Source organism: Homo sapiens, chromosome 22 (assembly GCF_000001405.40).
Source record: "Homo sapiens chromosome 22, GRCh38.p14 Primary Assembly".
Classification (NCBI taxonomy): Eukaryota; Metazoa; Chordata; class Mammalia; order Primates; family Hominidae; genus Homo; species Homo sapiens.
The window spans coordinates 24,890,196-24,902,447 of NC_000022.11; the positions used below are offsets into that span (position 1 = coordinate 24,890,196).

At 47.4% G+C, this 12,252-nt stretch overlaps 1 protein-coding gene and 1 non-coding gene across 5 annotated transcripts in view, besides 3 other annotated features; one reads left to right on the plus strand and one right to left on the minus strand.

The window, feature by feature from the left end:
- The window catches only part of SGSM1 (small G protein signaling modulator 1), a 121,368-nt gene that overhangs the window by 83,985 nt on the left and 25,131 nt on the right, over nt 1-12,252 (plus strand). For 2 of the 4 annotated variants that reach the window (NM_001039948.4, NM_001098497.3), the window contains 4 exons: nt 3,236-3,418; nt 5,028-5,096; nt 7,777-8,364; nt 11,638-11,762. In NM_001039948.4, the coding sequence (NP_001035037.1) occupies nt 3,236-3,418; nt 5,028-5,096; nt 7,777-8,364; nt 11,638-11,762 (965 nt within the window). The remainder of the gene's footprint in view (nt 1-3,235; nt 3,419-5,027; nt 5,097-7,776; nt 8,365-11,637; nt 11,763-12,252) is intronic. The other 2 variants (NM_133454.4, NM_001098498.3) reach the window with 1 other exon arrangement.
- Nucleotides 1,447-1,948: an enhancer, noted in NCBI's record as "H3K4me1 hESC enhancer chr22:25287609-25288110 (GRCh37/hg19 assembly coordinates)". NCBI's record gives its function as "activates a minimal SCP1, AML or CMV promoter by ChIP-STARR-seq in primed H9 embryonic stem cells {active_cell/tissue: H9 hESC(primed)}" and the evidence as "EXISTENCE:reporter gene assay evidence [ECO:0000049][PMID:30033119]".
- Nucleotides 7,572-8,072: an enhancer, noted in NCBI's record as "H3K4me1 hESC enhancer chr22:25293734-25294234 (GRCh37/hg19 assembly coordinates)". NCBI's record gives its function as "activates a minimal SCP1, AML or CMV promoter by ChIP-STARR-seq in naive and primed H9 embryonic stem cells {active_cell/tissue: H9 hESC(naive and primed)}" and the evidence as "EXISTENCE:reporter gene assay evidence [ECO:0000049][PMID:30033119]".
- Nucleotides 8,073-8,573: an enhancer, noted in NCBI's record as "H3K4me1 hESC enhancer chr22:25294235-25294735 (GRCh37/hg19 assembly coordinates)". NCBI's record gives its function as "activates a minimal SCP1, AML or CMV promoter by ChIP-STARR-seq in primed H9 embryonic stem cells {active_cell/tissue: H9 hESC(primed)}" and the evidence as "EXISTENCE:reporter gene assay evidence [ECO:0000049][PMID:30033119]".
- LOC124900481 (small nucleolar RNA SNORD56) lies at nt 10,952-11,019 on the minus strand. The gene has a single exon (XR_007068171.1). It is a non-coding gene; the product is annotated as a small nucleolar RNA SNORD56 (small nucleolar RNA).

Genomic DNA, 12,252 nt, shown 5'->3' on the forward strand with positions numbered 1-12,252 from the left:
TCCGCCCGCCTTGGCCTCCCAAAGTCCTGGGATTACAGGCATGAGCCACCACGCCCGGACTTAAACGGATTTTTGACTTAAGATATTTTCAACTTATGATGCATTTATTGGGACATAACTCCATCGTAAGTCGAGAAGCATTTGTAATTATAAGTTCACAAGAAGCTGCAAAAGTAAGAGGTCCCAGGTACCCATCACCCAGCTTTCCCCAGTGGTAACAGTTTATGTAACTAAAGTAAGTACACTGTCAAAACCAGAGTGTTAACACTGACACAATACAACTAGCTAGACTACAGGTCTTACTAGGATTTCACCAGATTTTGCATCTGCTTGTATATGTTTTTTTATTATTATTATTTTTTTGAGGTGGAGTCTCGCTCTGTTGCCCAGGCTGGAGTGCAGTGGTGCGATCTCAGCTCACTGCAACCTCCACCTCCTGGGTTCAAGCGATTCTCCTGCCTCAGCCTCCCAAGTAGCTGGGACTACAGGCACCTGCCACCACGTCCGGCTAATGTTTTTTGTATTTTTAGTAGAGGCGGGGTTTCACTAGGTTGGCCAGGCTGGTCTTGAACTTCTGACTTTGTGATCTGCCCGCCTCGGACTCCCAAAGTCCTGGGATTACAGGCGTGAGCCAACTACCCCCAGCCTAAAATCTGGTGGTATTTTACACTCTATATTCGTGTATCACTTGTACTATTATTTATTTAACATTTGATTTAAATTGACTCGCTTAAGATTTATACAACTTATTTTAAAAGATATTTTATATCCCTGCCATAAACGAGAAGCCAGTATAACTTGTCGTGAATAGAAGGAAACTATAAAAATAGAGTGAGATTAAATGGTGTAATTCTGTTCTAACTAGATGTTATAGCCTGCCTAAGGCCTGCCGTCTCTTTGTTAAAAAGGGAGATTATGTTTGGGAGGCCAAGGCAAGAGGATTGCTTGAGGCCAGGAGTTCAAGACCAGCCTGAGCAACATAGCGTGACCCCCATCTCTACAAAAAATTTAAAAACTAGCTGGGCATGGTAGCGTGTGCTTATAGTCCTAGCTACTCAGGAGGCTGAGACGGGAGGATTGCTTGAGCCCAAGAGTTGGAGGCTGCAGCGAGCTATGATTGTGCCACTGCATTTCAGCCTGGGTGACAAAGTAAGACCCTGTCTAAAAAAATATAAAGGATGGAGGGGAGATGACAAAGTATCGAGAAGTGTGGGAAGCATAGGAGCACCAGACTGGCCCTTTCTCCCTGGGGTAATCAGAAAAGTTGAAGGAGAGGAGAAAGCAGAAAGTTTCTGTAGTTCTGTATTATAAGGACCCATGCTAGTGAAATGTCTGAAGTTCATCTCAGTACTAGTGTGAGGCCCCTCCACACTTCACCCATGCCTGGTGGCTTCCTGGGGAGTCAGTAACTGACAACTCTGATGTACAGAGCCCCGTATTCAGAGCTGGGGATGCAGAAGCACATTAGGTGAGGTCCTTCCCAGTTTCATGGGGGTTGTGGTGGTCACTGGTGGGATTGAGGCAACCCCGAGGGCTGCAGGAGCATATGGGAAGCACCTAAGACGGGCAGGGGTGAAGGCAGTCAGAGAAGACTCCTGGAGGAGCTGGTTGTTCGTAAATTCTCAGAAGGAATTACTTTTCGGGCCAAGAGGGTGAAGAAGGGAAGAGAAGACAGCACAGGCAGAGGTCTGGAGGGGAGACCAGCGTGGTGTGGTGTGTGTGTCCGAATGGGTTTAGGGAGGGGCAGGAAGGGCATGGTGGGTGTGAGTTGCTGAGACATGAAGGAGTAGGATGGTGGAGGCAGCAGTGAGAGGGGAGGCTGGAGAGGAAACAAGGATCACGACTGCTAAGTGGTGCACGGTTCAGGGGGCGGGGTGGTCAGGCTGCAACAGAGACCTGGATGGAGGCTGCTGGGGCCATGCATCTAGGTGAAAGTGGTGTAACCCTGGCCCAGGATGGCACTGGGAATTGGGAGGTGGGCAGGGCTTGGAGGAGTCTCAGGGAGGTGGGCAGGAGGGAGTGGCTCAGGCGAGGCCCTTGGGCAGGATGGACCCTCAGTCCCCCTCCCGAAGTCCTGAGTAGCCATAGGAGAGGGTCGGGCTCCCCACCCTCTCTTTTCCCATCCTGGCTCTCCTTACCTAGATCAGCCAATCCGTCCCCGTGGTGCCCAGAGGTCTGGCAGACGCAGAGCCTGTTACCTGGGCTGTGTTACTCAGGGACAATGGAAGCTCCCCACCTCTTTGCTGAATCCCACAAGGAAAAAGCTGGAAATCTGTGGCCCTTCTGTAAGGCCATTGCTGTAAGGAAAGGAAGCGGGTTGGTTTTATTTGTATTGTATCCTCAGCACCTGTAGCCCATGTGGGGTACATGGGAGGCCCTCAGGTCATGCGTTGATTGAGTGGATAGGTGGGGGAAGGTCAGCATCTTGCTCATCTTGTATTCCATATGGCTAGTTTGGTGCCTGGTATGTAATAGGTACTTATCAAATTGAGTGAGTGAATGAATGGATGAATGAATGAGTAAAGAGAGAGGGAAGGTAGTAAAAAAGAAAGAAACAGTCTTCTCACTTTTGGCCGGGCGCAGTGGCTCACACCTGTAATCCCAGCACTTTGGGAGGCTGAGGCGGGCGGATCACGAGGTCAAGAGATCAAGACCATCCTGGCCAACAAGGTGAAACCCCGTCTCTACTAAAAAAAAAAAAAAAAAAATACAAAAATTAGCTGGGCGTGGTGGCGCATGCCTGTAGTCCCAGCTACTCAGGAGGCTGAGGCAGGAGAATCATTTGAACCCGGGAGGCTGCAGTGAGTCAAGATTGTGCTACAGCACTCCAGCCTGGTGACAGAGCCATACTCTGTCAAGAAAGAAAGGAAGGAAGGAAGGAAGCGGAGGGGGGGGAGGGAAAGAAAAATAGAAACAGTCTTCTCACTTTTGTATCCCCAGGGCCTATGTACTATCTAGCACATAGTAAGGACTCAATGAATAGTTGAAATTTATATATGTATGCATGAATGAATAAAGGAAGGAGGGAAATAAGGAAAGAAGTAGCCTTGCTCCCTTTGTGTCTTCAGAGCCTAACCAGTGCTAGGCATAGCATAGTAGGTGCTCAGTTAATATCTGCTGGATGTTAACTGCGTGAATGTTGGATGGATCAGAGCCACTCTCTTCCACGTTGGTCTGGCCCTCCCCAGGCGCCCCTTTGTTGACACCTCGGGTGACATTGCATCTGCCCTGGCAGGTGGACGAGCAGATTCATGCCTGCTATGCACAGACCATGGCTGAGTGGCTGGGCTGCGAGGCGATCGTGCGGCAGAGGGAGCGGGAGTCCCATGCGGCCGCCCTGGCCAAATGCTCATCCGGGGCCAGCTTGGACAGCCACCTGCACCGGATGTTGCACAGGGACTCAACCATCAGCAATGAGGTGATGGGCGGCTGGCCTCGGGGAGCGCGGGGGCTGGGGAAGGTCAGGGTCTGCTTCATTGGGCTGTTCTAAGAGTGGTGAAGACTGGGTGTCTGGGGCCTGGTGACAGTCTCACCCCTGGCTTTTTCTTTAAGAGTGTGCGGTGACTTTGGAATCAGACCTGAATTCAAACTCTAGTCCCACCATTTAGTAGTTCTGGGGTTCCCTACCAGTACCTTTTCTTCTGGGCCTCAGTTTTCTGCATCTGTAAAATGGGAATAATCAGGTGTAGAGGAGGTTCGTGTACAGTCCAAACAAGACAATGTATATAAAGTGCCTGGCGCACTGCCTGACTTTCATTGATTCAACAAATGCTTATTGAGTATCTACTATGTGCAGGTACTATCAGGAATATCCTGGGATATCAGGAATGTTCCAGTGACCCAGACAGACTGGTCTGTCCTCCCAGAACTTCCAGTTTAATAGCCCAAAGTAGGATCTCAGTAAAAAGTAGGATCTCACCACCCTTGACTGAGGGTGGTGGCTCACGCCTGTAATCCCAGTACTTTGGGAGGCCAAGGCGGGTGGATCACCTGAGGTCAGGAGTTCAAGACCAGCCTTGGCCAACATGGTGAAACCCCATCTCTGCTAAAAATACAAAAATTAGCTGAGCGCCTGTAATCCCAGCTACTTGAGAGGCCGAGGCAGGAGAATCACTTAAACCCGGGAGGCGGAAGTTGCAGCAAGCCGAGATTGCATCACTGCACTCCAGCACGGGCAACGAGCGAAACTCCCTCTCAAAAAAAAGTTAATTTTCTTCAGCAGTGATGATATCAGTCATCAATTGCCACAATAACAGTGTGTAACAAACAACCACCAAAAATCAATGACTTCCAACAGTCAGCGTTTATTTTTGCTCACAACTCTGGGTCAGCTGGCAAGTTCTGTTCTTAACTGGGCTAGGCGAGGCTTATTCTGGCACCAGCTGTCCGTAACTGGTCAACTAAAACATTTGTTTATCTTGGTTGGGCTCTCGTATTTGCCTGGGGTGACTCAGCTGTGCTCCACGTGGCTCACTGCCCAGCAAGTTAACCTGGACGTGCTCTCACGGTGAAAGCAGATGCCACAGAGAGAAAGCGGAAATGCACAAGGGTGTTCTAAGCCTCTGCTGAGTCAAGTTTGTTAACATCCCATTGACAAAAGCAAGCCACATGGCCAAGTCTAGTGTCAGAGTAGGCAAGGACTATGAGGTTATAGGGCAGAAGCATGTATACAGGGATCATGGGAAAAAAAAAAGTGGAGCCATTAATAGAACCAGTTACTCTGTGAGTTGAACTGAAATATTGGCCAGAAGTCTCAATTACAGAGCAGTTAAAGGTGGGGTGCTCTAGTTGCAGAGGTGAGAGGTGGGAACCCAGAGGTCAAAGCGGTCTCTGAAGAGGCTCCAGGAAGCAGGGAGTGGTGCCCCCCTTTCATTTTACAGCTAGGAAACTGATGCTCTGAGAGAGGACTTGTGCAAGTTAGGAATAGAGATGCAACTAGACTTTCTGGCTCCCAGCCCAGCAGTCCTTCCTGCTCTGGGCCAGGGTGCAGCCTCACCCTCCCTCCCTCCTGCTCTTTCTTTTCTCAGTCCTCCCAGAGCTGCAGTTCGGGCCGCCAGAACATCCGCCTGCACAGCGACTCCAGCAGCAGCACACAGGTGACCTTGTGGAGGCCTCGCCCCCTCCCACCCACTCCTCTCCCTTCTGCCTGGGGTCATGGGGGTTGGGTGTCCGTCATCTGTAGGTCACTTTTTGCTTTATTTGTTTTAGCTTTTTATATTAGCATTAAACATTGTTTTTTGTTTTTTGTTTAGTAATGCAAGAAATATATGGATCTATCACCCCTGCAAAAAACTAAAACATTGTAGAGAAAGTCAAAGTCTGCTTTGATCGTCCTTAATCTCTGCCTGCCCTCTCTTGAAATAACACCACTATCATGAGTTTGCTGTGTTCCTTTCAAAACCTTCTGTATGCATATACATACACAGAAATATATAATCTATAGCAATGTTTGGTAGTTGTTTTTTAAATGTGTACATAAATGCCATCATATATGTTGTTCAACAACTTTCCGTTTCAATTGGTGAAAAGAGATAACTCAATCTCACTCCGTTTTTAAAGAAAAAAGCTGGCTGGGCATGGTAGTTCACACTTGTAATCCCAGCACTTTGGGAGGCCAAGGTAGGCAGATAGCTTAAGCCCAGGAGCTTAAACCCAGTCTGGGCAACATGGCAAAACCCTGTCTCTACAAAAAATACGAAAAAAATCAGTTGGGCATGGTGGTGCGTGCCTGTAGTCCCAGCTGCTCCGGAGGCTAAGGTGGGAGAATCACCAGGGCCCAGGAGGTTGAGGCTGCAGTGAGCCATGATCACGCCACTGCACTCCAGCCTGGGTGACAGAGTGAAACCCTGTCTCACACACACGCACACACAAAGCCAAGTGCAAAAACATGCATAGTGTGTTGTCACCTTTTGTGTAAGAAGAGGCAATATTAATATCTGTATATATTTGCCTCCATTTTTGAGAATGGTATGAGGAGCAACCAGAAACGAATCAGAATGATTACCGAGAGAGGAGGGGGCAGAGACAGAAGCTACATTTCCTTGAATATGCCTTGCTTCCTAATTTTGATTTTGGAGTAAAAAAAAAACTCTGGTTTTGACTCTGAAGCTAGGTAAACTTTTTACATAATTAAAATCAATTGAATCAAAAAGAAGTTTTTGAAAACACAGAAACACATGAAACTAACCATAAATCAAGTTGGTGACATAACCACACAGGGAAGAAATATTTCAGGTGACTTTGGAACATGATCTTTAACTGTGTACCCTTGATATGATCCAAGAACACAAAGAGTCACAAAAAAATCTCTAAAATGTATTCTGGAGATTTTTTTCATAGTATTTCATGTATATCTAACTTGAAAAATTGATTCATAATAGTCAACCACCTGGGTGTAAAAGTAATAGGGTTTTTTTATTTTTTGTTTTTTGGTTTTTTTTTTTTTGCCTTTTCCGTGTGTTAACTAATTTTTTGAATGAGAAAAATTATGTATACATGAGGCTGGGCACGGTGGCTCATGCCTGTAATCCCAGCACTCTGGGAGGCCGAGGCAGGTCAATGACCTGAGATCAGCAGTTCAAGACCAGCCTGGCCAGCATGGTGAAACCCTGACTCTACTAAAAATACAAAAACTAGCTGGGCATGGTGGCACATGCCTGTAATCCAAGCTACTTGGGAGGCTGGGGCAGGAAAATTGCTTGAACCCGGGAGGCGGAGGTTGTGGTGAGCCAAGATCGTGCCACTTCACTCCAGCCTGGGCAACAGAGCGAGACTCCATCTTAAATAAATAAATACATACATAAAAATAAAATTAGGTACACATGGTAAAAGTCTATATGATGAAAAGTTATTGTCTCCCCTTATTTTGATTCCCTAGTACCCCCTTCTCAGAGTCAACTGCACGCGGGGCGTGGTGGCTCACGCCTGTAATCACAGCACTCTGGGAGGCCGAGGTGGGCAGATCACCTGAGGTCAGGAGTTCGAGACCAGCCTGGCCAACATGGTGAAACCCCATCTCTAATAAAAATGCAAAAATCAGCCAGGCATGGTGGCGAGTGCCTGTAATCCCAGCTACTCGGGAGGCTGAGGCAGGAGAATCACTTGATCCCGGGAGGTGGAGGTTGCAGTGAGCCAAGATTGTGCCACTGCACTCCAGCCTGGGCAACAAGAGAGAAACTCCATCTCAGAAAACAAGACAAAACAGAGTCAACTGCAGTACTTTTTTGTCTCTTTGTGGATTATTTTATGCATACACAAGCACATAGATCACTTTTTTATTGCTGTTTGAGACAGAGTCTCACTCCCATCACCCAGGCTGGAGTGCAGTGGCATGATGGTCACAGCTCACTGAAGTCTTGACTCCCCAGGCTTGGGTGATTCTCCCACCTCAGCCCCTCAAGTAGCTGAGACCACATGTGTGTGCCACCATACCAGGCTAATTTTTTGTATTTTTTGCAGAGACCAGGTTTCACCGTGTTGCCCAGGCTGGTGTCAAACTCTTGGGTTCAAGCAGTCCACCTGCCTTGGCCTCCCAAAGTTCTGGGATTGCAGGCGTGAGCCACCATGCCCAGCCTAGATCACTTTCTTATTTGTCACAAATGGGAGCGTATATTACACCTTGTTTTGCCTCGTTCTTTTCACTGACTGTATGGTATTCCACTGCATGCTTGATCCATATTTAAGCCGATCACCTGTTGTTGGATGTTTAGGTTGCTGATGTAAGTAATGCTGCAGTCGACATGCCGGTCCATCTGTTTTTGTGCACCTTGTCCTCAGGTGTTTGAGTCTGTGGATGAGGTGGAGCAGGTGGAGGCTGAAGGCAGATTGGAGGAGAAACAGCCCAAGATCCCCAATGGGAACCTAGTGAACGGCACTTGTTCCCCAGACTCGGGTCATCCTTCCTCCCATAACTTCTCCTCGGGCCTCTCAGAGCACTCAGAGCCCAGTCTGAGCACAGAAGACAGTGTCTTGGACGCCCAGCGGAACACCCCCACGGTGCTGCGACCTAGGGATGGCAGCGTGGATGACAGGCAGAGCAGCGAGGCCACCACATCTCAGGATGAGGCTCCCCGGGAGGAGCTGGCCGTGCAGGACAGCCTGGAGAGTGACCTCCTGGCCAACGAGAGCATGGACGAGTTCATGTCCATCACGGGCAGCCTGGACATGGCCCTGCCTGAAAAGGACGATGTTGTGATGGAGGGCTGGAGGAGCAGCGAGACAGAGAAACATGGCCAGGCGGACAGTGAGGACAACCTCTCGGAGGAGCCTGAGATGGAAAGTCTCTTCCCTGCCCTGGCTTCTCTGGCTGTGACTACTTCTGCCAACGAGGTGTCCCCTGTGTCTTCCAGCGGCGTCACCTACTCTGTAAGTCACCAGGACCCTCCGTTCCATTTCCTTCTTTCCAGCTGCAGGAGGGTGGGATGTACTACAAGCCTGTTATCCAGAATGACCCCGGAGTCAGACCTCTGGTTCGTTGCATTTTTTCCGTCATGGAGGATTCACTGTAGAAACCCATTTGGGAGAGAAGATAACGTAGCATTTAAAAAGGGGGGCTGGGCACTGTGGCTCACACCTGTAATCCCAGCACTTTGGGAGGCTGAGGGGGGTGGATCACGAAGTCAGAAGATCGAGACCATCCTGGCTAACATGGTGAAAACCTGTCTCTACTAAAAGTACAAAAAATTAGCCGGGCGTGGTGGCAGGCACCTGTAGTACCAGCTACTTGGGAGGCTGAGGCAAGAGAATGGCGTGAACCCGGGAGGCGGAGCTTGCAGTGAGCCGAGATCGCACCACTGCATTCCAGCCTGGACAACAGAGCAAGATCTCAAAAAAAAAAAAAAAAAAAAAAAAAACGTGTACAGTGTTATAATATTTTATGCAACTACTGTAAATGTCAGTGCTTGCATTATTTTAACAGAGTAATAGGTAAGCCATGTAGTAAACTGTCCTAATTTTTGTCTTTCCTGTAAAAAAATTTGTTTTTCCTAGATGTGTTTTCCTTTTCCTGTTTTCTTTTTCTTAGTTTGCTGCATATTTAAAGTCAGTTCACCCCCAGAAGTCTTTGCCACTTTCCTAAATCTCTTTTCAAACATTTAGACATATCATGTTTTTCATTTGTTCTGTGTGTCCAAGGACTTCTCCCCAAAAGCCTACTGATGCCCTCCACTCCACTGCACCTGATGTGTCATTATCATTCACAATCTTCCTCGTCCTGATCTTGAGCTTCCTTTTGTGTCAGTCATGTTTTCCTCTTTCTTAGTCTACTCTCTTATTTAGATGAAGCACATACCTCAGTGGCTTCCACATTTTTTGCTTTTCTTTTCTTTTTTTTTTTTTTTTTTAATTGAGACAGGGTCTCGCTCTGTCACCTAGGCTGGAGTGCAGTGGCGTGATCTCGGCTCACTGCAACCTCTGCGTCCCGAATTCATGCCATTCTCTTGCCTCAGCCTCCCAAGTAGAAGGACTACAGGCGCCCGCCACCACGCCCGGCTAATTTTTTGTGTTTTTAGTAGAGATAGGGTTTCACCGGGTTGGCCAGGATGGTCTCGATCTGCTGACCTCGTGATCTGCCTGCCTTGGCCTCCCAAAGTGCTGGGATTACAGGCGTGAGCCTCCATGCCTAGCTTGCTTCTCTTTTTTATCATTTCTTTGTCCTTCTGTGCTGAATTCTGGATTGTTTGTTCAGATCTCCTTTCAATTCAGTAATTCTCTCTTCCAGAATGTTTTATTTTCTGTCACCTATCTCTAGTGTTTAATATATTTTTTAACATTTTATTTGGCCTTTCTTCAAATATGCTATAAAATGACTTACTTGATTATTTTATAGTCTCTTGCTTTTTTTTTTTTTTTGAAATAGTCTCCTTCTGTGCGTGATTTGGAGGGCAGTGGCGCAATCACTGCAGCCTTCACCTCCTGGGCTCAAGCAATCCTTCCTCCCACCTCAGCCCCACAAGTAGCTGGGACTACAGGGCTGTACCACCATGCCTGGCTAATTTTTTGTATTTTTTATAGAGATGGGGTTTTGCCATGTTGCTCAGGCTGGTCTTGAACTGGCCTCAAGTGATCTACCCGCTGTGACCTCCCAGAGTGTTGGAATGACAGGCATGAACCAGTGCACCCCAGCTTTTGTTCTTATTGTTAACCTCTTCTTTCTTTCTTTCTTTCTTTCTTTCTTTCTTTCTTTCTTTCTTTCTTTCTTTCTTTCTTTCTTTCTGTATTTTTGAGACAGAGTTTCGCTCTTGTTGCCCAGGCTGGAGTGCAATGGCGTGATCTCGACTCACCGCAACCTCCGCCTCCCGGGTTCAAGCGATTCTCCTGCCTCAGCCTCCCGAGTAGCTGGGATTACAAGCACGCACCCACGCCCGGCTGATTTTGTATTTTTAGTAGAGATGGGTTTTCTCCATGTTGGTCAGGCTGGTCTCAAACTCTCGACCTCAAGTGATCCGCCCGCCTCGGCCTCCCAAAGTGCTGGGATTACAGGCATGAGCCACGGCGCCCCGCCTTATTTCTTTAAATACAGTAAACATACTTATTTTATGATCTGTTTCTGATACTTCTAACAACTGAGGCCCTGATGGCTCTGATTCTGTTTTCTTGTATTTATGCCAACCATCACTCCTGGCACCTTCTTTCTCTGAGTGTTTCATGATTTTTGAACATGAGCTCATATTTCTTGGGATATTATCTGCTGTACTATTTAAGACCCAGGTGGAAGGTAGATTCCTCAAGAGAGGGGTTTTCTTCTGCTTCTTTCTAGTGCCAGGGAAATAACAAATATGAGATGACAACTACATTCTCTGATCTTTCAGACCACCCAGGTAATGGGAGTTTGGGTTATAAACCGCATGAGTTACAAACCTGACTTGTGGCTCTTAATTATGCAGGGAGATAACATTTACATTTAATTTAATAACTATGTTCAAGGTATAATCAGTCAGGTATTGTAACTGTTTCACTCAGACCCAAAGTGACAACATTCATGAGGTGAACTGTGGATGAAAAATATTGCTGTCACTGCGGGCAGGCAATTGTTTTGAGATCCCAAGATATTAGTGGGTTTTTCTAGTTTTCCCTTTCTGAGGGTGTGACTCCTTAGGGCCCTACCTTCCTGTAGGAAGGTCTCTTATTAGATCTTCAACTTGAGTAGGGGAGCAAAAACCAATCAAATCTAAGCTTAAATTTTCCCACTTTGGCAGCTTTCCTTAAGGCAAAGGCCAGCTTTGGTGTTTTCTCACCTTTCTGAGTTAGTTTTTGGTCCTTAAATATTTCTTATTTTCTTGCCACATCATTGAGCCATTTTGAAATTAAGGTACTTGTTCAAGCAGCCAGGCCAGTACGTTACCAGAATTTGCCCTCTGTGCAGTTCTTCATTCTCCTTGTCCAGTTTTCAGCAGAGAGAGGTTCACTTCCAGCTATAGTTGTAACTCTCTGAGGGAGAATTTTCATCCTGCAAATTAAACACACCCTCCCAGAAAACAAACAAACAAAATCAAACACCTGGCTGGTCCAGGTGGGAGATGTATTTTCAGTGACAACAGGAGAGGGTTAGGAAGAGGAGATAGGATTGCTGCTTTCCAGTGGGGACTTAGATGTGATTTTTCATTTCTTCCCCCTACCCCCTGCCCCGATGGCCTATAGCCAGAGCTGCTGGATCTGTACACGGTGAACCTGCACCGCATCGAGAAGGATGTGCAGAGGTGCGACCGCAACTACTGGTACTTCACGCCCGCCAACTTGGAGAAGCTGCGTAACATCATGTGCAGGTGGCTGGGGACAGCGAGGGGATCTAGGGGATGGGGATGGTGGGTGGGTGGGATGGGGGATGTAGGGGGCCCGCCTAGAAGTTATTTCAGCTTCTGAAGCTGGCATCATACTCACCTGGAATCTTACTTAGCCCACAGTGAAAATTTAACAACAATAATATAGAACATTTATTAAGCACTTACTGTATACCAGCCACTGTCCTGAGGCCTGTACTATCATCGCTCACTTATTCCTCAACCCGACGAGGTATTAACCCCTTTTATAGGTGACGATGTGGAGGCTCCAGGAAGAGCCTCATTGCTGAGTGGGCATCGGGCAGTGGCTGAGCGGGAACTCATAGCCATGTCTCTGGCTGTAGAATCTGTCCTTTTTCTATTTTTCTTTAAGCCAAGATCTACGACTGGTTATTACTGTTCACTAAAAAGATATTATTCCTGTAATCCCAGCACTTTGGGAAGCTGACGTGGGAGGATCACTTGAGGCCACTTG